General features: G+C 44.2%; 1 protein-coding gene across 24 annotated transcripts in view, besides 8 other annotated features; it reads right to left on the reverse strand.

Annotated features, from left to right (window-relative positions):
• The window catches only part of ARHGAP21 (Rho GTPase activating protein 21), a 140,274-nt gene extending 130,686 nt beyond the window's left edge, over positions 1-9,588 (reverse strand). For 9 of the 24 annotated variants that reach the window (NR_160021.1, NR_160022.1, XM_047425562.1 and 6 more), the window contains exons 1-2: positions 8,858-8,922; positions 7,538-7,980 (exon numbers count right to left, since the gene is read on the reverse strand). Coding sequence is in view for 18 of the 24 variants with exons in the window: in XM_047425562.1 (XP_047281518.1) it covers positions 7,538-7,600 (63 nt within the window). In the remaining 6 variants the exon portion in view is untranslated. Of the gene's footprint in view, positions 1-7,537; positions 7,981-8,186; positions 8,450-8,857; positions 8,923-9,262 lie in introns of those variants that run through there. The other 15 variants (XM_047425561.1, NM_001367447.1, XM_011519605.3 and 12 more) reach the window with 4 other exon arrangements.
• Positions 8,368-8,677: a silencer, noted in NCBI's record as "silent region_2223". NCBI's record gives its function as "represses an Ori minimal core promoter by ATAC-STARR-seq in GM12878 lymphoblastoid cells {active_cell/tissue: GM12878}" and the evidence as "EXISTENCE:reporter gene assay evidence [ECO:0000049][PMID:35858748]".
• Positions 8,738-9,097: a silencer, noted in NCBI's record as "silent region_2224". NCBI's record gives its function as "represses an Ori minimal core promoter by ATAC-STARR-seq in GM12878 lymphoblastoid cells {active_cell/tissue: GM12878}" and the evidence as "EXISTENCE:reporter gene assay evidence [ECO:0000049][PMID:35858748]".
• Positions 9,118-9,197: a silencer, noted in NCBI's record as "silent region_2225". NCBI's record gives its function as "represses an Ori minimal core promoter by ATAC-STARR-seq in GM12878 lymphoblastoid cells {active_cell/tissue: GM12878}" and the evidence as "EXISTENCE:reporter gene assay evidence [ECO:0000049][PMID:35858748]".
• Positions 9,118-10,031: a biological region, named in NCBI's record as "H3K27ac hESC enhancer GRCh37_chr10:25012349-25013259".
• Positions 9,121-10,031: an enhancer, noted in NCBI's record as "H3K27ac hESC enhancer chr10:25012349-25013259 (GRCh37/hg19 assembly coordinates)". NCBI's record gives its function as "activates a minimal SCP1, AML or CMV promoter by ChIP-STARR-seq in naive H9 embryonic stem cells {active_cell/tissue: H9 hESC(naive)}" and the evidence as "EXISTENCE:reporter gene assay evidence [ECO:0000049][PMID:30033119]".
• Positions 9,288-9,357: a silencer, noted in NCBI's record as "silent region_2226". NCBI's record gives its function as "represses an Ori minimal core promoter by ATAC-STARR-seq in GM12878 lymphoblastoid cells {active_cell/tissue: GM12878}" and the evidence as "EXISTENCE:reporter gene assay evidence [ECO:0000049][PMID:35858748]".
• Positions 9,388-9,577: a silencer, noted in NCBI's record as "silent region_2227". NCBI's record gives its function as "represses an Ori minimal core promoter by ATAC-STARR-seq in GM12878 lymphoblastoid cells {active_cell/tissue: GM12878}" and the evidence as "EXISTENCE:reporter gene assay evidence [ECO:0000049][PMID:35858748]".
• Positions 10,328-10,707: a silencer, noted in NCBI's record as "silent region_2228". NCBI's record gives its function as "represses an Ori minimal core promoter by ATAC-STARR-seq in GM12878 lymphoblastoid cells {active_cell/tissue: GM12878}" and the evidence as "EXISTENCE:reporter gene assay evidence [ECO:0000049][PMID:35858748]".

Raw genomic sequence — 24,086 nt, forward strand, 5'->3', positions numbered from 1 at the left:
TGTGCTAGATTACTTGACCTGGTAGTAACTAAAGAAATGAAGAACATCAAGGCACAATGAACTTCATAAAACGCTTAACCTGGAAGAAATGAATGGGAAGGAACACTAACAATTTACGGAGAAATTCTTTAGATCTGGGTACTCACTTTGCTGATGGCTCTTATCTAGTGATAGGCCCCACTCAATACATTAAAATCCAGGCTTCTGCCGAAATGCCACTTAATGATCCCTGCTGCTGCTACTGCCATCATTCTCAATTCTAACAGGTTTTAGCTTTAACCCTAACTTGCAGCATAAAACTTTTGGCATGGAACAGTATTCTGACACTTAAATTCAGGTGTATGAAGAAACACAAAATTAAAATTAAATAATAGAGTTATACCATACTGTAACTAGTCTAGAATGAATCCTATGCCTCCAATGAAGAAACTTGCTTTTTAAAAATTGTTTTTTGGCCGGGCACGGTGGTTCACGCCTGTAATCCTAGCACTTTGGGAGGCCACAGTAGGCAGATCACAAGGTCAGGAGATCGAGACCATCCTAACACGGTGAAACCCCGTCTCTACTAAAAATACAAAAAATTAGCCAGGCATGGTGGCGGGCGCCTGTAGTCCCAGCTACTCGGGAGGCTGAGGCAGGAGAAAGGCATGAGCCCGCGAGGCAGAGCTTTCAGTGAGCCAAGATCACGCCACTGCACTCCAGCCTGGGCGACAGAGTGAGAGTCCATCTCAAAAAAAAAAAGAAAAGAAAAGAAAAGAAAAAGAAAAAATTGTTTTTTAAGTGTTGCTTTGAGCAGTGTGTATGCTTTTTAGTATTGTTTTAAGCAGTGTAGGTTTGCCACAAACCAAATTTTCACAAGACTGAATACATATTACCTATTTTTAAAGTCTATACATAGTGTTCTTTTATTGTCATTTTGGTAATAAAAAAGAGAAAATGTAAAAATAATATAATCCTGATATTCTCATCATTCAGAATAAACAACTGTTAACATTTCATCACGGTCAATGTTTGTGATCTTTTTTTAACTGGTTATGAAATATTTATGACATGAAAAAATAAAAATACATAATAAGGAACATCCATATACTAGCCATTCGTTTTAAGAAATAAAACATCATCCATACAGATTATCTTTTTATAGCTTCTCTTATCGACCAGTCTGATTGCCCTTTCACTTGTCTGTTAATTATCATGATCTCATCTCTTAGTGGAAATTGTTTCATACATTTGTACTACACATTGTCTTGGTTACTGTTACTTGGTTACCAGCTTCCCAAAGGTAAAAAAGGTGCAAAGAAAAAAGGCACCAAAAATTTTAACAGCAGTTCTAACGGAAATGAAATAGAATTTAAGGTGGGCAGGAGGTCTAAGGAAGAACATATTTCATACTGTACATATTTTATATAAACTAAAATAAGTATTCAGCTGGGCGCAGTGGCTCACACCTGTAATTCCAGCACTTTGGGAGGATGAGGTGGGTGGATCACTTTGAGATCAGGAGTTCGAGACCAGCCTGGGCAACATGGCAAAACCCCATCTCTACTAAACATACAAAAATTAACCAGGCATGCTGGCACACGCCTGTAATCCCAGCTACTCAGGAGGCTGAGGCAGGAGAATCACTTGAGCCTGGGAGGCGGAGGTTGCTGTGAGCGCAGATTGCACCACTGCACTCAAGCCTGCGTGACAATGCAAGGCTCTGTCTCAAAAAGAAATAAAATAAATAAGAATTCACATACTACATGTCCAAATGCAAACTCAGTAACATTTTGGAGTTTTGCTAAGTCTTTATTCATTCCAAAAACATATTTATTGACAACCTATTATGTGCTAGGCACTCTTCTAGGCACAAGAAACACAATGTGAACAAAACAGACAAACTGCACTCTCAACACCTGCGTTCTAGATATATTACCTGTCTCAAATAAACAAACAAAATCAAATGCATAAGCATGCCGGGTGGAGACTAAGTGATAGGGAGATAAAGCAAGGAAGGAAGGCAGAGCATGGCACAGGGAGCAGGGGAGGGGCATTCAACAAAGGGAGTGGTTGGCAAAGCTTCACTCGGAAGGTGACCTCTAAGCAAAAGCCCGAAGGAGCCAAGGAAGCAAGCTGTGCAGAGACTGGGGGAAGTGTTCTAAGGGGAGGGTTCAGTGAGTGGGAAGGCTCTGGGGACTCCCACGTTTGTGTACATGCAGAAAAGCAAGAGACCAGAATGGCTAGCACAGAGTGAGGCGGGAAGAGGCACAGGAGGTGCGCTCAGGGAGGGGGAAGGACCAATTATACAGGGCTTTGCAGGTCACTGCAAGAACTTTGGCCTTCAATCTTCAGAGAAATGAGAAGCCATTTGAGGAATTTGAGCAAAGGAATGACACAACTTGATTTATAAATTGTCTGTCCTGATTGCTGTGTGGAGAACAGGCTTTAGGCTGGCAAGGACTGAAGTGGAGAAATCAGTCAACCAGATCCACATGTCATATATGAGAAAAAAGAGAGACATCAAAGATCACTCCAAGATGCCTGGCCTGGAAGGATGGGATTGCTATTGCTTGAGATGAGGAAGACTGGAAGGAGCATACTTGGGAAGGTGGGCCAGGGGAATGGAGGTAGAGTCAGGATTGTGGTTTTAGATATGCCTATTTACTATTCAAATGGAGATTCTAGGCAGTCAGGTCAGTTGGATATAGGAATCTGATTCTGCGAGACAGAGGAGCAGGTCAGCAATAGAGATATACACATGTACACATAAAGAAATATAAGTGAGTGTGTGTGTGTCAATTATCTGCATATACTTGATATTTAAAACCATGAAACAGTATTGGGAGAAGAAATGAGGATTAACTGAGCTTTGAGGTGTAGAAAGGTTTAGCAAATCAGGATGTCGAGGAAACCTCAAAGAGACAGAAGGAGGTGACAACGAGGAAGGAAGATAATCAAGAGAGTATAATGTCCGGGAATCTAAATGAACACTGAATAAAATGTAAAGCCTTTCCTGCATATTCATTTATTCATTCAAAAAATATCACCTGACACTTACTATGTGTCAGTCCCTGTGGAAACAAACATGGTCCCTGCTCTTATAGGGACTGCAATCCAAGGGGGATATAGATAAACTTGTAACTGGTATTCCTGAAAGTGCAGGGTGTTTTGAGAGAATACACTAGGGGCAACTGAAAGAGTCTTGCGGGTCAGGGAAGGCTTTCCTGAGGAAGCAGTATTGAAGAAAAGACCAGTATGATGAGTAAAAATCAGCCATGGAGCAGAGGGAGGAGGAACAGGGGACAGTAGAGGGAAGGGTAGAAGAAAGGACCTGACAGGAGTTCAATCTAGGAAGAACAAAAAGAAGTAACAAGTGAGACAGAAGCGCGGACCAAATTACCAAAGTCCTTTCAGACTTCACAGAGGTCTGAATTTTATTTCAAAGGAAATGGGAAGACAGAAAATTGTCTTATAGGAGGTAATGTAACGATCAGCTGGAGTACAGTGGCGCGATTTTGGCTACCTGCAACCTCTGCCTTCCGGGTTCAAGGATTCTCATACCTCAGCCTCCAAACAGTTGGGACTACAGGTGTGCGCCACCACGCCCAGCTAATTTTTGTATTTTTAGTAGGGACCGGGTTTCACCATGTTGCTCAGGCTGGTGTACAACTCCTGACCTCAGGTCATCTGCCCATCAGGAGGATCATTCTGATTACAGTAGGGACAGAGCTGCGGAAGGGGACAAGGCTAAGTTATTGGGAAACTCCGTAGGGAATCTGTTTCTGTGGTTCATCAGTGAGATGCAGCTGACCTGAACTCAGGTGGGGGTAGTGGGTATTGGGAATGTGGACTCCACAAGACTTTGCATATGAGGAATGACGAGACGGAAGAGTGAGAATGCTGACCTAGTTTTTGACTTGGACCAATAAATAGATGGTAGTGCTACTCAGCGAAAGAAGGTGCACAGGAAGAGGGAGAGTCAGCGGTAGCGGTGAAATCTGATGAGTTTGCAATGCCTGGGGAATATCCCCCAAAAGTGTTCGGTAAATAGGCAACTGGCTGAAAAGGTCTAGAGATCAACCATAAAGCCTGAGATAGAGGGGTAGATACGGAGTCACCAGCACACAGGAGAGTGCAAAATAAAACCCAGGGAGTGAGAAAGAGAATACAGGAATGGAAAGGCCTTGGCTCTGGATAAAACCAACAATGGGGCAAGAAGAGGAAGAAAAACCCTACAAAAGAGGCAGATAGAGAGGGAGATAGAAAGGAGGGGAGGAGAAGAGAGAGCGCCTGAGAAGGAACTAGGGAGTCTGGGATGAAAGCAAAAGCAAACTGTCCAGCATTCCAGAAGGAAGAGTCAACACATGGATTCATACAAACTCGTACCCAGAAAAATGTCTTATTGTATTGTTTACAGTATTTCAAAATCAACCAACAAGTGTATTTCATCAGCCATAATACATTTCAGTCATAGAATAATCTTAGCCTAGGTCAAGAAGCAAAACAAAAATAAGTTCATTTGCATTAGTAAAAAGTTTAATAATAAAGTGACAAAAATTCTATTACTGGACAAGAGTATGGACTACAGATAAAAAATGAAATAAATGTTAGAAATGGAAAAAAAATCATGTGGTTAAGAAAGCTGAGGGAAAGTTTTCTCTTCTTTGGCTTAAAAAAAAAGTTAAACCTTGAAAGATGAAGCTATATGGATATGAAAAGGGGTGATAATATCATAGAGGATTCAACAGAAGAATCTATATAAAGTGATTTTGTGAGCAAAGTTACTCAAGGATTGGTGTCAGAAGACTTCACGGACTACACACACACACACACACACACACACACACACCCCAAAAATCACTTAAGAGGTTCAGAGTGAGTGATTTCAAGTTTTAAAAATACACCTTGAGATGTATAAAAGTATATAAATTCGTGTGAGTACCATCTGGACCATCCTTACTGTATAATGCCAAGACATATTCTACTGAACTGTCCTAATTTCTTATTTGAAGAGGGCTGTTTATTTGTTTTGAGGCTTCCAATATATCCTGGGGGTGGGGAGGCCTAAATGTATATCATATATCAACACAATAAAATTGCAATGCTTAAGATGAACAAGAAATCTCTGATTGTTTTTCAACAAAGCACAAGGCCTTATTCAGAGAAGGTGGAGTTGGCTAATTAGATAAAGCATGAAACAGAGACTCCTGTTAATTCATTACATTGATTTCTTCTGTCCTATAAAGTTAGGTTTTCTTGGCTGATTAACAGCATTACTATTAAGACACACATGCTCATCTCTTTGTTAGTTAAAAACACAATAATAAATGTAGTATCCAAACACATTATTGATTTTTAAAATTTTTTAAAGAGTGATAGTACCACTGTGGAATGTAGTGCTTCTAATAAAATTGACGACAAAAATTAAATGCAATGTTCAAAAACCTAAATATCAGCCCAAAGTATTTCATTAGCAACTAACTCCCTATTACTAAAAAATATTCACAAGATTTAATGTGTATCAGAAGCATCAATCACAGATTAAAACACGTCACAACTAAATACAGGCAATAATTACACAAGTTCTCTTCACTCCCAACCCTGAGGTTTTAAAATGTTTTCTGACAACATATATCCCCTTTATTTCCACTTCCACATAGAATCTAGGCAAAATACCTATTCTTTAGAAAGTCAAATAATATTGTAGTTTAATACCAAACCTAAATACTGTATATATATTTCACATAAGCAAAACACAGGTGATATTGTGTTTTCTTCATTGCTAAACTTAAAAACAAGATAGCCATGCTGCCAGCAGTAAGGTCCAAATGAAAACAAATTTCACAGCCGTTAAAAAATACATAACTGTCATTGTTAATAAAAGCCAAGTGTGCAACAAACTGGAAATACTGCTTGCTAGCCAAGGACAAGATGTGTCTAAATTCTTGGTTTCAGGACATCTCTTAAATGACCAAAAAAAAAAAAAAAAATCAAATAACATTAGTTCTTGCAAACAGAATGCAAATACAATGCTAATTAAAGTATTCACAAGACAATGACAAATAAGGCTTCAGGACCACAATACATATTATTATGTAACTGCAATACACATTAAGCAATCACCAGGTTGCAGGTAGGCCTTCCAAAAGGAGTTATTATGGTTTACCGTGATCAGAGGATTGTGGTGTTCCACTTAATCATGCTTTTGCCTGCAAGCAGGTGTTTACAGATGTCAAAAAGTAAAACACTGATTCTAAATGTAAACCTACAGTTCTGCCTAATAAATTGTACAGTAATAGCACACTGTACCTCACAACGTTTTCTGCATAAACTTTCTAATTCGACATGAAGTAAGCTGCATGAAGCAAGTTTCTCCGCTTGCTTTATGAACCAAAATTTAACTTCTGATTCATTTTTATTAAAATGCCAAAACTCACACACTTAGAGCCAGCCCTTGTTTCAAGGACTATGAAGTTAAAATTTAACATCCGGTGCAAAAGAAAGTGAGACAGTGAATGAGGGTTCATTTGGGTATGTTATTGTCTAAAGTAATCCTCAACCCTTCAATGAAAACATAGGCATCTCAAAAGTAAAATTTAAAGGATAACAATATTCAGTCTATTTAAAGAACAAATTACAGGAACCGCCAATGATAAACATAGTATATTCATAATAGAAGTAAATTCCGAATACTTCAATCTCCAAACACGAGGAAAAAAAAAAAAGGTGAGAGGCAACAGAGTATATGCGTGTCATAAATCAATGTATTTTCTATGATTTCTGTCCTGCCTGCTCAAAAATTTTCAGGAAGTCTGGAGTAAAATCTCTGGGCCCTTGGGAAGATGTTAGATGCTAGATGCTACCCTAACCAGCAACGCAACCCACCTGACACCCCAGAGCAGCTCACAGAACTTCAGAGTAGTGAAAGGGAGGGTATAAATAAGAGAACAGTAAAGGCAGGAGATTTTTCCGGGAGTTGGAATTACGACTCTGTAAGGTCGTTTTCCAAGGCTGTGCTTAAACTATTCACGGAAAAACACTTCTTTTTCTACCTAAAGCAGAGATCTGCAGCAACAGCAGCCAGACTCCCCTCGTCAGTACCAAAGAAAGACTAAGTTCCAGGTGCAACAAGCATACTAGCTGCCCTCTCTGCACCTTGGAGCAGACACAAATGCTGAAAGCCACCCCCAACCAGCTCAACTCCAAATATCTCGGAAGGGGACTGAAGGAAAACGGATACTGAGGTGCCCATTCTCAGGCTTGTAGCATCCACAGCCACAGAGACGGGAGAATTCCTGGCTCTGAGAAGGGGTGACCAAGATGAGGACATTCCAAACTGCGGGACATGTTCTTGCAAAAGAAACACGGGAGTCCCTGGAAACAGACGTGGGCCAGGCTTCTCCTCGCTACTGGTTAAGCTGGGGCGCTCCCGCCAACAGGCTCAAAGCCCCGGGAAGCCCCTAGTGAGGCCCCGTGGCCGGTAACCCCCAACTTGCAGGACGCTCAAGACACAGGCCACCGCCCTGCCGGCCAGGAACGCTGGCTCCGCGCTTACCTCGCAGGCCTTGAGCTTGTCACCATCTCCCTCAGACAGACCAGTCCGACGCGTGGCCATCATTTCATTTCAAATGACAAAGAAGGGACAAATCCTTTGGAGTCCACATTGGACGTGGCGGGGAATGCCACCACACACCCGAAGGGGAAGAATTCCACAAGCAGGCTCCGAGGAGGGGCAGGGCTGTTGAAACAGACAACGTGCCAGGGAATAAAGGTTTTCAGGAAGCGCCTTCAAATGCCTCGCTGATTTCTCGTGACTTCAACTGACTTCGCCTTCTTCTTCCATTTCTGGAGACTTAAAAACAAAGGCGACAGGTCTTCTTGGCAGCCAGTGTCGAGGCCAATTGCAGAAAGCGGTCCCCTTCTTCCCAGTGCCACTCCTGAGTCCTGGAAAAATCCGAATGGGTCGTGAAGGTTCGAGTGTCAGCTCCTAGAGAGATCCTAGGAAAACGAGAAGTTAAAGGTCATGAACTTTCTCCAGGCGCCTATCACTGTCTTGCCCACATGTCCACACCAAGTTCGCGTTTCCTCCCGAGCAAAACAAACAAAAAAAAATTTTAACGTAAACAAACAAAAAGCCTATAAATTCGAGGGGGTGTTTAAAAAAGAGAAATCTCGAAACTGCCCAGCGGTTGCGTCAAACACACCTGGCTGTTATGCAGCCTTCAAGAAAAAATGTTCCCCATTCAAGTGCATTTTAATTCATGTCTTTCCTGGGTAGAGCAGAGGGCTGTGCATGTTGTTTTCTGCATCACCCAGACAGGGACACTTCGGTGAAGTTTTCTCCCCCACGAGGCTGAAATGGGATCACACTTTCCAAGCCCCCTCTTCGCTCCCCTCCGCCCCCCAAAAACGCAAGCACAAAGCCAGCCTGGCTGGGGCCGGCGTGGGCTCGGCGGCGTCTCCGGGTGACTCGGGCGCCGCCCCTCCGCCCCTCCGCCCCGGCCGGCGTCCCCGAGGAGGCGGCTGTTTTCCTTGGCCCGCGGCGGGGCTGGGTGGGGACGGCCGGGGAGGCGTGCGCGGCCGCGGGTGGGACGCCGGCGCCGCTCCCGCTCCAGGGCATGATTCTGGAGCTACACCCGAGCAACTCTGAAGTCGCGGCTTTTCCCCCAACTACCACTCGACACGGCTTCCCTTCCCCTGTGGCCACCTAGGGGGAAAAAACGAGAAAAAGCAAACCACCACCCACCTCCCCACGATTCCCCCGCCCCTTCCTGAGGCGGGTCGGGGACCTCGAGCTCCCGAGGAGAGCGGCCCCAATATGGACTTTCTCAAAGGTGCTAGGAGCCCCGGGGCGAGACAAAACCGGGGGCCTTACCCTTCCCGCCCGCTCGGGCCCGGCGGCCGAAGCGCGGCGGCGAGCTGAAGCGGAGACGCTGGCCGGGCGCCGGGCCCGGCCGGGACGCGCTAGGCCGCAGGCTCGGTTAATATTCATGAGCGGCCCCAGGCGCCCCTCCTCCAAGGCTGGCCGGCCGGACCCCAGCGCCCACCGCCGGCCTTTGTGCCCTTCCCTCCGCCCCGCCGCCCGCCCTTGCTCCGCACACGCGGGCGCGGCCCCTCCGCCCCCGCCGGGCGCCCGCCGCGGGCTCCCTCCGGCCCCGAGCCAGCGCCCGGCCGGGTGGCCTGTGGCGGGAAGGGAGAGAGCCCGCGGCAAGCCGGGCACTCCACGGCCCGCGAGCGCAGCGCCCTCTCGGCTGAGACGGAAAAGAAACCAGACACGCACCAGAGGAAGCGGGACGAGTGGATCCGCACGGGGCTGGCCGGCTCCGGGACAGCGCGCCCCGCCCGCCCGCCCGGCGTGAGCCGGACCCCGCAGCCGGACGATCCCGCGCTGCCCGCCGCCGCCGCCGCCGCCGCCGCCGCGCTCCGAGGCCGCCGCCCCCGGCCGGCCGCTCCCAGGCACCGCCGCGACCTGCCCCGGCCGGCCCCGGGCTCTCGGCCGCCGCAGGAGGGCGTGGGGCGGGGCGGCGGCCGCCGGACTCTCCCCTCGCCTCGCCGGGCCGGGCCGGGGCCCAGCTCCGGCGCCCGCGAACGCCAAGTGACAGAAGCGCCTCGCTCCGTGGCCGCGCGGAGCTGTTTCCCGGGGGCGGATTTCTCGCTTCTTCCTCCCTGGATCCACCTCCTCCCACTCCACCTCCTTCCCCTCCCCTCCCCAGGGGAGGCTCTGGGGCTGAATATTTTCTGTCTTGAATAACACGGGACCGGGGAACCGACGCTGGAGAAGGGGGATTAGCCGGAGGCCGGAGCGGGGTGCTCGCCTGCCCCCTCCCCGTGGGTCGCGGGACCTACAAGCCCTCGCCCCCCAGCACCCCAAAACCAGGCACACAACGCTCCCCGCCCCTGCAGTCTCCCAAGCGCTGAACGGCAGCGTCCAGGGATGGGCTTGCTCCCGGGAAAGGAGACCTGGTGGTAGACGTCTGGGGTGGAGAGGGGGACAAGCCTATAACAGCGACATCTGCAGACTCCAGGGATCAAAGGTCCTAGATTGGGGGACAGGGCTTGGCAAATTGTGCCCCCACCCCTTTTTTGCAGCGGGAAGGCAATGAAGCTGCGACGAGACGTGGGACTTCCAGATAAGGGAGTGTCCCCTCACGCCTCACAGCAAAAATCTCTTCCTGTGGTGGGAAGGGGGAAGTTAGCCAAGCGTTGCTCATTCAGTTCTTTCCCTTTTATAAATTCTGCAGAGCGGCTGAGCGAATTTGGCGCGGCTAGCGGAACTGTGGAGAGGCGGCTGCGCTTCTCTGTCCGCCACACTCCAGGTCACAGCGGCTCCGGAGCCGCGGCACAACCGCCACCCTCCCCACCCAATTCCCGGGCCTTGTCACAGACCCCGGCAGCTCGCTCCGCCCCGCCGTGCCTCACAACATCTCCCGCTGCAAATTACCCAATCGGGAGACGCGACGAGAGAACGCGAACCAATCAGGGGCTGGTAAATCAGGCTTCCCTCCGCCCTCTTCCCCGCCCCCGGGTGAAGGCCACCGCCCCCTCGGCCTCTCCTTCCCACCCCGCCCCGCTCCGGGGAGGTGGCTCCCCGGCTCCGAGCCTCGCGGGGCTGGAGGGGGAGTTGCTCGCAGTCAGAGGCAGCGTTTGTCACCTTGTCACCCTCATCCTCGCCCCCTCCCATACACACTCCCCTCCCCTTCTCGGTGCTCCTGCTGGTGCTGTTGAGGGTCATTTTTATCCTCACTGCGGCCGGGGACTGCCAGCTATTGTGTCTGATCAGCTGCCACCGCTGTCCAGAGGGAAAAAAAGAAGAACAAAACCTAGAAACTGTGGAGTCCTCTTACCTTTTCCTTCTTTCTTTCTACACTCTCCCCTGTAGACTTAGAAACATCCCTTCTCCTTCCCCGCCCGCCCACCACCTGAGGTCCTGTTTCTTTATGGGGGACAGGGGAGCGGGGACAAAAAACACTCCCTGCAGCTGGAGTACCTGCGCCTTAGTTTTTACATCTTCCTTAAAGTGGAAGGTGCCAAACCAAATCTACAACTAAATCCTCCGCTTCAATTCGAGGGAAGACGTTGACGAGATCATTTTTATATGGCCATGAAATTTGCGTGTTCTTGACAGCCTGTCACCAAACAAGTCAGCTAATAATCAAGAAAAGAAAAATAGAATAAAATACAAGGACTGTATTTCAGTCAGATGGTAATTTACTAAATAGCCCAGTGGCTGTAGCAGTATCCAGTGCTAGATACAATTGAGTAAATTAACAAGAAGTGAATAGAAATTCAGGGTTCAAGTAGCTCACCGCTTGTGGGCTTATAGAATATGTCCAGAAAGGAAAAACAACTTACAGCACAAAACAACTCCTTGCACATGCAAATGTGCATGCATGGCATGAACGGCGTACCTAACAGCTGAGGACTTTTGGGTTAAAATTTTTGCACTAGAAATTTTTTAAATGTTGATTGTGAAATTTTCAGTTTGATAAAGGAGAGTAAAATGTGGGCCATGAAAGGAGAAGGAAAAGGAAGGAAAACACATTCTAGGAATTATGGAAAAATAACATAACCTAGAGAGGCAATATTTCTATAAGAGGTAATAAGATGTAAGGATCAAGATTACAATCCAACTCCATCATTTACCACGTAACTTAGGGAAAATTATGACTTATGTGTCTAAGTACTAGAGCTATCAAATTCAATACCTCCTGCTAGGTACTCCTCTAAAAGCTTTACACACAACATATTGAGATAGGTGGGTGGTGAAGCAAGGATTCAAGCCCAGGGGATCTGGCTCCAGAGTCCATTCTTTTATTCACAACACTATACTAGGCTGGGCCCAGTGGCTTATGCCTGTAATCCCAGCACTTTGGGAGGCTGAGGTGGGAGGATCGCTTGAGTCCAGGAGTTTGAGACCAGCGTGGACAACATAGGGAGACCCGTCTGTACAAACAAAAAGTTAGCTGGGCGTGGTGGCATGTGCCTGTAGTCCCAGCTACAAAGGAGGCTGTGAGGCAGGAGGATCGCTTGAGCCCAGCAGTTCAAGGCTGCAGTGAGCCCTGTCCAAGTGTGGCACTCTAGCTAGGGCAACAGAGCCAGACTGTGTCTCAAAAAATAATAAATAAATAAATAAATAAATAAATCACTGTACTACCTCTTAATATGGGTTTTTAATAATAACAGCTAACACTTAACTTACTATGTGTGAATTATTGTGGTCTTTGAGTGCCAATTTAACTCTACTCCTGGGACAAATATAATTGTGATGTTCTAAAATTTGGGAATGTTTTTAAGAACTGTTATGATAAGTTACTATCTTAGGTATCTTAAGTGTATTAGGCTATCTGTACGGAGAAGTGCAAAGGCACACAGCTAAGATTTGAAAAACCTGTGTCCTGGGCTTCTACAGGACCTCTGAGTTGTAACAGCATCCTCCCTGTCTTGCTGGACTGTTAAAGAGAATCAAATGAGATAATAGATGTGAAGAAATTTTAAGGCCAGGTGCGGTGGCTTATGCCTGTAATCTCAGCACTTTGGCAGGCCCAGGCAGGAGGACCACTTGAGCCCATGAGTTCAACAAGCCTGGGCAACATAACGGGGCCCTATATCTATAAAAAAATTTTTTTTTAATTAGCCAGGTGTGGTGGCCAATGCCTGTGGTCCCAGCTACTTGGAAAGCTAAGGTGTGAGGATCGCTTGAGCCCAGGAGGTCAAAGCTGCAGTGAGTCTTGATCACACCAGCGCACTCCAGCCTGGGCAACAGAAGACACTTTTAAAACGTAAAAAACATTATTTCAATCAAAATATTATGGGCTGGGCATGATGGCTCATGTCTGTAATCCCAGCACTTTGGGAGGCCAAGGCGGGCGGATCACTTAAGGCCGGGAGTTCAAGACTAACCTGGGCAACATGGTGAAACCCCTTCTCTACTGAAAATACAAAAATTAGCCTGGCGTGGTGGCACGTGCCTGTAATCCCAGCTGCTTGAGAGGCTGAGGCATGAGAATCCCTTGAGCCCGGGAGGAAGAGGTTGGAGTGAGCCGAGATTGCGCCACTGCACTCCAGCCTGGGTGACAGAGCGAGACTCCATCTCAAAAAATAAAATATTACTATAAAGCAGAAGTTTGTACTATTTCCCCAACAGGAACCCTACTGTTTATAACATTTTATTGATACTGTTTAGGAATATATGAACCCAGTTAAAAATTAGGTCTATTCCTTTCTGAAGCCATGAACAAGAATATTTTAATATCAGCTCTCATTTGGATGCTTTTTTGTGTTTGTTTGTTTTGTTCGTTTTTGTTTTTGAGATGAGGTCCACTCTGTCACCAGGCTGGAGTGCAATGGCACAGTCTCGGCTGACTGCAACCTCTGCCTCCTGGGCTCAAGGGATTCTGGTGTCTCAGCTTCCTGAGTAGCTGGAACTACAGGCACATGCCACCACACCCGGGTAATTTTTCTTTCTTCCCCGCCCCCACCCCGTAGAGACAGGGTTTCACCACGTTACCCAGACTGGTCTTGAACAAATGATGCCTCAGCCTCCCAAAGTTCAGGGTTTACAGGCGTGAGCCACCGCGCTTGGTCATCATTTGGATGCCTTCTGACCAGACCAAAAAGTGAGTGTGGCCCCCCACGCATCTGGAAAGAGGAAGCCTGCAGCTGGTTTTTCTCCATTCCAAAGGCTAATTGGCGTAATTGGTGGAGGGTGCAAGCCCTTGGAATTCTCTTTAGCTGCCCATCGTGGACATCTCACTTGTAAACACCTCCACCAGAGGGAGGGCAAGGGAAAGGAAAGGGGGCCAAACTTCAGTCACGCGGCTACGTGTTAGTTTCAGTGAGAGATTTGGTGAAACAATAGGTTTTGGGGCCATTGTAACTGAAAGGAGATTGAAACTAACTGGTTGCTATCTTGATAGTTTTCTTTATCCTCAAATATCATGGATAAGCAAGAGCTAACAGTAATTCTAGCTTTGTTTGCTTTGAAAGGCTATTTTCCTCCTTAGAGTATAGCTAATAAATGTGTGGGTTTCCTATAATCAAACTTCTTGGAGTATCCTTTGAAATAGCCTCTGAAATTACTATAGCTATATTAATAAAAACTACAAGAAAGCTTTATACACTAAATCTAGGCAAGACATTTATGAAGATGAGAACTGTATCCTTAAAAGGTAAGTGTTGGCTTTGCTAATGACATAATATTGTTTTGGTGAACCAATATCAAGGGAAAAAATGTCAAAGCCAAAAATAGAGGCAAAGTATCCCAGCCCCTGGTGTGGAAGGCCATTCTATGATAATCTATGAATGATTTCTACTCTGAATATGTTAACAGAAGCTGGCACATCTGAGAAGCACAAGTGTTTGCTAGTGAATCCACAAATGAAATTTGCAATTTGGGTTGAAGCCTTTGCAAAACTACGTTAAGACCAATAGCCCTCAGAAGAGTAAGGGGTTTTGTTTTGTTTATTTCTTATTCACACATTACCAAAAAGACACATTACATGCTAATATTACTTTGAAAGAGCAAAAGACTTTTTTTTTTTTTTTGAGACGGAGTCTCACTTTGTCATCCAGGCTGGAGTGCAGTGGTGTGATCTTGGCTCACTGCAACCTCTGCCTCCTGGGTTCAAGGGATTCTCGTGCCTTAGCCTCCCCAGTAGCTGGGACGACAGGCATGCACCACCACACCCAGCTAATTTTTGTATTTTTTAGTAGAGACAGAATTTTACCATGTTGGCCAGGCTGGTCTCGAACTCCTGACCTCAGGTGATCCACCCACCCCGCCCTCCCAAAGTGCTGGGATTACAGGCGTGAGCCACCATGCCTGGACAAAAAAAGCAAAAGATTTTCATGTTGAACTGAATAGCTACAGAAATCCCACCACACTTGCAAGGCATTTAACTATTGTAATTGAGAGAAGGGAATGATTCTCCACAATCAGCAATTTCTAGGACTCTTCCTTCATCTCTTTTAAACAAATAATGTAAATGATTTACTAATTTATTGTTCTGCATTTGCTAAATATGTATCTTATTATTTCTCTCCACATGATTACTATCTTTGATGATTAATTTCTAGAAGGCAATGACATTATTTAATTCATTATATACAATGCCTAGTAAAGTGCCACACACAATAAATATTCTTGAATAATTTATCTGCCCTCAGTTTATTGTCATCTTTTCCTCCTCTGGACTAGAATACTGGTGTTTATTTTTGGGTTTGTTTGTTTGTTTGTTTGTTGCTGTTACTTGATTATAAACAATCTTCTTTTGTTACACGGATATATTGTGGGAAAAAAATAATAAATCTTATTTAGCTAAATATTATCTCCTTTTTTAATCTGGATTATAAACTTCTCTAGAGGAGATTCCTGGAGCTTTTACTACTTTCACATCCCCACAATATCTACCACATCTTTTACACATAGAAATTACTACAGAATTATTCAAGAAATAAAAGATGGTTATGTCACTATTATTGATAAATATTTATACCTCAAGAAATTCCTGGCTGTACAGGTCCAATAACAGTACAGGTCACAGGAAGATATATGTATAGGCCTATGTGAATATGCCTAAAACAAAGAGTGTAAATTATAAGAGGTATCCACAAAGAGAACACTTGGTATGGGCCTCAACTTTCGGAAATGCCACATTTTATCTCCTTATCGAAACTTCTCTGGCCAGGCGCTGTGGCTCACACCTGTAATCCCAGTACTTTGGGAGGCCCGAGTGGGTGGATCACTTGAGGTCAGACATTCGAGACCAGCCTGGACAACATGGTAAAACCCCATCTCTACTAAAACTACAAAAATTAGCTGGGCATGGTGGCACGGTCCTGTAATCCCAGCTTACTCAGGAGGCTGAGACAGGAGAATTGCTTGAACCTGGGAGGCAGGGCCAAGCCTGGTTGACAGAGTGACACTCCATCTCAAATAAATAAATAAATAAACTTCACTGCCAGCGATTTAGCTGTTTTTCAGCCATAAGACCATCCTAAAAATTAATATCACTTACATTTTGGTAGAAACTATAAAATTTCACCCCAAAGCTTATCCATAATCATATATCAAAAGTTTTCTTTAGATCCAAATTATTATTCAGCATTAGAATTTCCATAATTAAAATTTAGTGGTATGCTAGTCATAGTCATCAACATTGTTAAGTTTATTTATATGTTTTAAGAAAAAATATGAATAAAAAATCCATGTGCAAGTTTTTATTTTATCCTAAGAATCGTGACTTTCATTTATAAGTATTCCAACTTTCCTTAAAAATATGAGACTAGTTTTTAAAATGTTTCCACCCACCCAACTAAATATGAGTTGGAACATTGTGAAAATACAGTGCAATCTGGAGAAACCCATATTACAACTGGAGAATTGAAATATGTTTTTATCATTTTGGAATAGAATGCTAAATTCCAAACATTTTAACTAGGAAACTGTGCTAGCAGTTGATTTTTAATATCATAGGCCTAATCCAAAGTAATCAAATCTTTTCATCAAAAAAAATAAAAAGTTCTAGCCTTCCCTTTCATTGTCATTGAGCAGAATCAGGAAAGACACCTAAAGACTTCTCTATTCCTTGATTCAAGAAACTCTGAGTATCTTTCAATATTGTCTAGCACTGTAGATTCCATTCCTCTATCCCTATAATTGCTTGCATTCCTTATTAATCCAAAAGTCAACTAACCAAGGCTTCTTCCCTCAGATAGGAAAAGATCGCAGGGCAATATGTGGTAATTCACATCTGGGCTTAAGTAGGATAGATGGCAGGCTTACATAACCTTTCTCCTCAAAGATTTTTTCAATTATATTTTAATTTTTAAAAATTACGAAGTAAAAAAGAAAAAAACAAACACTAAAACTATGAAGGGGCCCAATCTCATACCACATTTTACGAACCCATTCTCATGCCTCCTTCCAGCTTTCTTCTGTGGCTCCTCATTGCTTGAATCCAACAAGAAGCCTGGGGTCCTCAAAGATAATTCATCCACCCTGTTTCTTTCAATATAAATAGAAATTTTAGATAGTAAATATTCATCAAAGATGAATGAAAAGGAAATAAGACTGACATAAACATTTTAAATTGTGATATTGGGGAAGAGATGAAATAAAGGAATATATTCTAAAAAGAAAAGATATATTATGGAAGAAGATTAACCCCAGTAAGCAGAAGAAATATAGAGACAAATGTTTCATACCCCGAAGAAAATAAAATATATCAAAAGTGAAATCACAAGAGAATGAATGAAATATAAAAGATGTTAGAATGGCTAAGAGAAGGTATTGAGAGGGAAAAATCATACCGTTGCAGAAATAATACATGAATTAGAAATAAGAAGAAATAAGAAATGTCTGGCCGGGCACAGTGGCTCATGCCTGTAATCCTAGCACAGAGGCCAAGGTGGGAGGATCACTTGAGCCTGGGAATTCAAGACCAGCCTGGGCAACACAGTGAGACCTCATCTCTATTTTTAAAAAATAAAAATAAGAAATATCTAGCAGAAAATTGTGGGATGGATGACAGATTTGTTTTAAAGCACATCAAATACAAAGGAAAAGGACAAAGATTAAAGTGATTAGACAGGAGATGAAAAATATAGAAGACAACAGAAATCTGATTTAGAGAAATTGATGTCTCTGACAGAATTTACAACTAATGAAACTAAAAAAAATTTTTTTCAAAGATATACTATGGTAGCCTGCTAAATGTTCCCCCAAATCTGTTCTCTCCTTCTCCTATAATAGTAGTATTTTAGTTAGGCACCTGGTTAACAAGCTAGACTTTCTATCTAGGTGTGTCTAGGTGTGGCCATGACTAAATTCTAGGCAATGAAATGTGGGCAGGAATGATTGTGTGTCACTCTGGAAGTCTTCCCTTAAAAGGCTTAGATCTGTGCCTTCCTAGACCCTTCCCCGATTCACAGTGACTGGAGGTAGGGTTGCCAAGTTTAGCAAATAAAAACAATGAGCACACAGTTCAATTTGAACATCAGATAAACAACAGATAACTTTTTAGTATAAAAAAGCCTCATTCAAATTGGTGTTTGAAACCAAAAAAAAAAAAAAGAAAAGAAAAATGTTGCAGGCAATAAACAAATCAGATTTTAGTGTGTGTCTCATTAAAAAAAAAACTGTTGGGCATAGTGGCTCACACCTGTAATCCAACACTTTGGGAGGCCGAGGCATAAGGATTTTTTGAGCCCAGGAATTCAAGACCAGCCTGGTCAACATAATTAGACCTATCTCTACAAAAACATTTAAAAATTACCTGGGTGTTGTAGCTAATTTTTAGCCCAAGCTATTCTTGAACTCCCAGCCTCAAGCAAGCTTCACACCTTAGTCTCCCAAAGTTCTGGGATTACAGGCATGAGCCACTGCACCCAGCCTTTCAGCTGCTTTTAAATGTGAATGACCACATGATTCAATCTTTAAGTCACATTATTTGTTTTCTTCAAAATTTTTCTTATCAATTAATGCTGAGAAAAATTTTTAGGTGAGTAATGGTTTTCTTTTGGGTCAGGGATCATTAAACTTTTTCTGTAAAGGGCCAGATAGATAATATTTTAGGCTTTGCAGTGCCACGCGACCTCTGTTGCAACTACTCAACTCTGCTGTTACAGTACTAAAGCAGGGATGGACAACGTATAAATGAATGAATGTGGCTGTTTCTATAAAACTTGATAACAGATAGAAGACTGGATTTGGTATATGTGCCACAGTCGGCGAACCCCTGCATTAGGTAATTCACTTTGATTTGCTTGTAGGATTTCTTTTCTTTTTTGAGACAGAGTCTCACTCTGTTGTTGCCCAGGCTGGAGTACAGTGGCATGATCTCGGCTCACTGCAACCTCCACCTCCTGGGTTCAAGCAATACTCCCATCTCAGCCTCCCGAGTAGCTGAGACTACAGGTGCCCGCCACCATGCCTGGCTAATTTGGTATTTTTAGTAGAGACGGGGTTTCGCCATATTGGTCAGGCTGGTCTCAAACTCCTGATCTCAAGTCATCCACCCGCCTCAGCCTCCCAAAGTGCTGGGATTACAGGCTCGAGCCACCGTGCCCTGCCGGATTTCTTTTCTTATATGAAAGTTTAGTAACTTCCCCCAAGTCACTATTCTGTTTTCATAATCCCTGAAACATGATAAATTTTTTTTTAATTAAAAAAAGTTTTTTAGTAGAGACAGTGTCTCACTATATTGGCCAGGCTGGTATTGAACTCCTGGGCTCAGGTGATCTTCCTGCCTGGGTTTCCCAAAGTGCTAGGGTTACAGGCATGAGCCACTGCACCTGGTCAATCCTTTTAATCCTTGGAATTGCAAGAAAGTTTTCACATATTGGTTAGGACAAAGGCTAAGCTCTTGCACCAAAATGTTTTTTAAATACCACAGTACTTGTATTTAGAAGTGGCTACAAAGAAAGTTATGTCTTTTTCAGGTAATGATCCCCAAGTATGCTCTTCAGGCCTGCTACAATAGCTCCATTGTCTTCCATAGGTGGTTTCATCTCTGGGTCAAAGGCAGATGCTCCAGTTCTATCTCCAATAGGGTTCCCAGATAAAATATAGGATACCCAGTTCAACTTGAATTTTATTTATTTATTTATTTATTTGAGATGGAGTCTCCCCCTATTGCCCAGGCTGGAGTGCAGTGGCGCGATCTCGTCTTACTGCAACCTCTGCCTCCCAGGTTCAAGCGACTCTCCTGCCTCAACCTCCTGAGTACCTGGGATTACAGGTGCATGCCACCATGCCCAGCTAATTTTTTATTCTTTTTTTTTTTTTTTTTTGTATTTTTAGAAGAGACGGAATTTCACCATGTTGGTCAGGCTAGTCTCAAACTCCTGACATTGTGATCCGCTCGCCTCAGCCTCCCAAAGCACTGGGATTACATGCGTGAGCCACCATGCCTGGCCCCTCAACTCGAATTTTAGATAAACGACAAATACATTTTTAGGATAAATTTTGTTGTTGTTGTTTTTGAGACAGGGTCTTGCTCTGTTGCCTAGGCTGGAATGCAGTGGTGCCATCATCGCTCACTGCAGTCTTGACCTCCTGGGCTCAATTGATCCTCCTACCCGAGCCTCCCAAGTAGCTCAGGGACCACAGATGTGCACTACCATGCCTGGCTAATATTTTTTAAATTTTTTTGTAGAGACAGGGTCTTGCTATGTTGCCCAATCTGGTTGTATGTTATTTAATCTGCCTTAAATAATGGTTTGAGTGACCAAGTAATTAGAAACAAAATGAAAAAACAAGCTACAGTCTATCAGAAGATATATGCAACTGATATAACCCACCAAGGATTTATTTATTTATTTATTTATTTGCGACGGAGTCTCGCTCTGTCGCCCAGGCTGGAGTGCAGTGGCATGATCTCGGCTCACTGCAACCTCTGCCCCTCCAGGTTTAAGCAATTCTCTGCCTCAGCCTCCGGAGTAGCTGGGATTACAGGCGCGTGCCACCACGCCTGGCTAATTTTTTGTATTTTTAGTAGAGACGGGGTTTCACCATCTTGGCCAGGCTGGTCTTGAACTCCTGACCTCCTGATCCACCCGCCTCAGCCTCCCAAAGTGCTGGGATCACAGGCATGAGCCACTGTGCCCGGCCTCCCACCAAGGATTTATAGCCTGAGCCTCCATAAACCAATAACTAAAATAGAAAAGATGAATAGGCAATTTATGAAAGAGAAAATACATGTTTTCACCAAACATAATAAAAGATGCCCAGTATCACTGAAATCAGGATAATGCAAATTAAAATGATAATAAGACCAATTTCAAATCCATCAGACTGGCAAAAATCAGTCTGAAAACAGCAAATGCTGAACTGAGGTCAGGAGTTCAAGACCAGCCTGGTCAACATGGTGAAACCTCGTCTCTACTAAAAGTACAAAAATTAGCTTGGCATGGTCGTGGGCGCCTGTAATCCCAGCTACTCTCGGGAGGCTGAGGCAGGAGAATCACTTGAACCTGGGAGGCGGAGGTGGCAGTGAGCTGAGATCGTGCCATTGCACTCCAGCCTAGGCGACAGCGTGAGACTCTGTCTCAAAACAAAACCAGTAAATGGCAGCTCAAGTTGCTCAGGCCCCAAACCCTGAATAATAGGAAATGACTAGCTCCACTTCGAAATTCAAGAGGTCTCAAATTAAAGACACCCTAATCTGCCCTTTCCACGTTAAGTGGCAATTCTGTTCATACTGCTGCTCCAGACTAAGAACTTCAAAACAGCCTTGACCCCTCTTTCTCTCCCACCCCACATCCCCACATCAGTAAACTCTGTCAGCAACACCATCATATTATATCTAGAATCTGATCACCTCCACAGCGGTCACCCAAGTCCACGTGAAGTCATCGATCACCTGGATGAGTTGACAGCCTTCAGCTAGTCTTCTGCTCTGTCTTTACTAGTGTCTACTCTCAATACAGGAGCCAGTGCAACCCTTTTAGAGCCTAAATCAGGTCTTGTCTCTTCTTTGCTTAAAACTCTCTGATGGCTTCCCATTTCACTCAGATGAAAAGCCAAAATCTTTACAGTAGTTTACTTCATGCTACTGATCCACCTCCAGGCTATACCAATCTGCTTAAAGTTCATCAGGCACCGAGGCTTTCCCCCACCTCATCTGTCACTCACCTACTGTTTGCACCTGTTATTCCCCAAGGCTAGACTATGCTTCTCCCTGCCAGATATCCACTCTCCTCATTTGATTCAGGCTTTTGCTCAAACATGTCTTCCCTAACCATCCTACTTAAAATAGCACCATAGTCACCTACCTGACTCCACCCCACCCCAATTACCCTTTCTTTCCACCTTCACCCCTTATACATACTTTATTTAATTTTTCAAAAAGCACTTATTGCCACCTATTGTTTTATTTTTTATTTATTGCCTGTCTTCTCAGCCTAGAATGTAAATCTCAGAAGAACAGGAAATAAGTCTATTTTATTTTTTGCTGTATCCCTAGTGCCTAGAACAAATCCTGACATACACTAGACACCCCATAGAATATAAATGGAAGAGTTTGGGCACAGTGGCTCATGCCTGTAATCCCAGCGGTTTGGGAGACCAAGGTGGGAGGATTGCTAGAGCCCAGGAGTTTCAGGTTGCTGTGAGCTGTGATTGCACAGATGCCCTCCAACCGTGGTGATATAGCAAGACCCTGTCAGAAAGAGAAAGAGGAATAGCAAGAGAAGAGGAAAAGAGAAGAGAAAAGAAAAGAAAAGAAAAGAAGGAAAAGAAAGAGAGAAGAATGTACCGTAAACCCAGAGGCTTCCTGGGAGATGGGAATTTTTTTTCTGGATCTTTAATTCTTATGCAATTTAAATGTTTCTGGGGCATAAATAAAGAAATTATCTAAAATCCTTTATCTAAAGCATGAATGATAAATATATGATAGAAATAACCAGGCATGGTAGCTCATGCCTGTAATCTCAGCTCATGCCTGTAATCCCAGCACTTTGGGAGGCTAAGAAGGGGAGTATTGCTTGAGGCCAGGAGTTCAAAACAAACACATAAGAGAAAAAAAAAAAAAACAGGAGACAATTTCACATGAGAATGATTTTTAAAATCCCAATTAAAATATTACTATTAACCTTAAGTAATATATCAAATGTACTCTGGATAGAAGTTCATTACATAAATGTAACTATTGTTTGAAATTAGGACATCTCTCCATTAAAAAAAAAAAGTCGGTTTTATTAGTGATGAGGCTGATAGGAAAACATGGCTTTCAATGTGAGCCAGTTAGGTTTAGTAATCCTCCCCCTGAATTAGAAAGACTCCAGCTGTCTTGGGCCCAACTGAAGCACAGGAGGTAGTACCCCTGCTTCTGAAACTGTTCCAATTGTCCCACAGAACTGATATTTACAGGTTTTTAAAAATAAACTAAAAGTTGACCCTCCCAGTCTTGAAATTTGAAACCTACTTGTCTTATCTGAGTTCTTTTCTTAAGAAATCAACCCTCAGGCAAGGAATTGAAACTCTTCAGATCACTGCATCCAGACTTAGAAGACCTCTCTTCCAACATGATAGATTCCTTACCCCTCCCTAATTCTTGTTTTCCCATCTTCCCTGCTATATAAGCACTCCAATTTTAGTAGATTAGGGAGATGGATTTGAGACTTTCTCCCATTCTCCTCCTCCGCAGTACCCAATTAAAGCCTTCTTCTCTGGCATTAAAAGTAATGGGAAGGCCAGGCGCAGTGGCTCATGCCTGTAATCCCAGCACTTTGGGAGGCCGAGGTGGGCAGATCACAAGGTCAAGAGATTGAGGCCACCCTGGCCAACATGGTGAAACCCCGTCTCTACTAAGAATACAAAAATTAGCTGGGCATGGTGGCACACGCCTATAGTCCCAGCTACTTGGGAGGCTGAGGCAGGAGAATTGCTTGAACCCGGGAGGCGGAGGTTGTGGTGAGCCAAGATAGCGCCACTGCACTCCAGCCTGGTGACGAAGCAAGACTCCATCTCAAAAAAAAAAAGTAATGGGAAAAGTCTGGGTGCAGTGGCTCACGCCTGTAATCCCAGCACTTTGGGAGGCTGAGGTGGGTGGATCACTTGAGGTCAGGAGTTCGAGACCAGCCTGGCCAACATGGTGAAACTCTGTCTGTACTAAAAACACAAGAACTTAGCTGGGCGTTGTGGCAGGTGCCTATAAACCCAGCTACTCTGGAGGCTGAGGCAGGAGAATTGCTTGAACCTGGGAGGCAGAGGTTGCAGTGAGCAGAGATGATGCCACTGTACTCCAGCCTCAGTGACAGGGCAAGACTCTATCTCAAAAACAAACAAACAAAAAACTAATGGCAAAGACTGCAATTACTTTTTCACCAACCTAATAGTAAAGCTTTATTATTATTATTATTATTATTATTATCATTATTATTTTGGAGACAGAGTCTCACTCCGTCACCCAGGCTGGAGTGCAGTGACATGATCTCGGCTCACTGCAACCTCCACCTCCTGGGTTCAAGCAAATCTCCTGCCTCGGCCTTCAGAGTAGCTGGGATTACAGGCACCTGCCACAACGCCCAGCTAAGTTTTTGTATTTTTAGTAGAGACAGGGTTTCACCACTAGGCCAGGCTGGTTACGAGCTCCTAACCTCAA

The sequence above is a fragment of the Homo sapiens genome, chromosome 10, assembly GCF_000001405.40.
Source record: "Homo sapiens chromosome 10, GRCh38.p14 Primary Assembly".
Classification (NCBI taxonomy): Eukaryota; Metazoa; Chordata; class Mammalia; order Primates; family Hominidae; genus Homo; species Homo sapiens.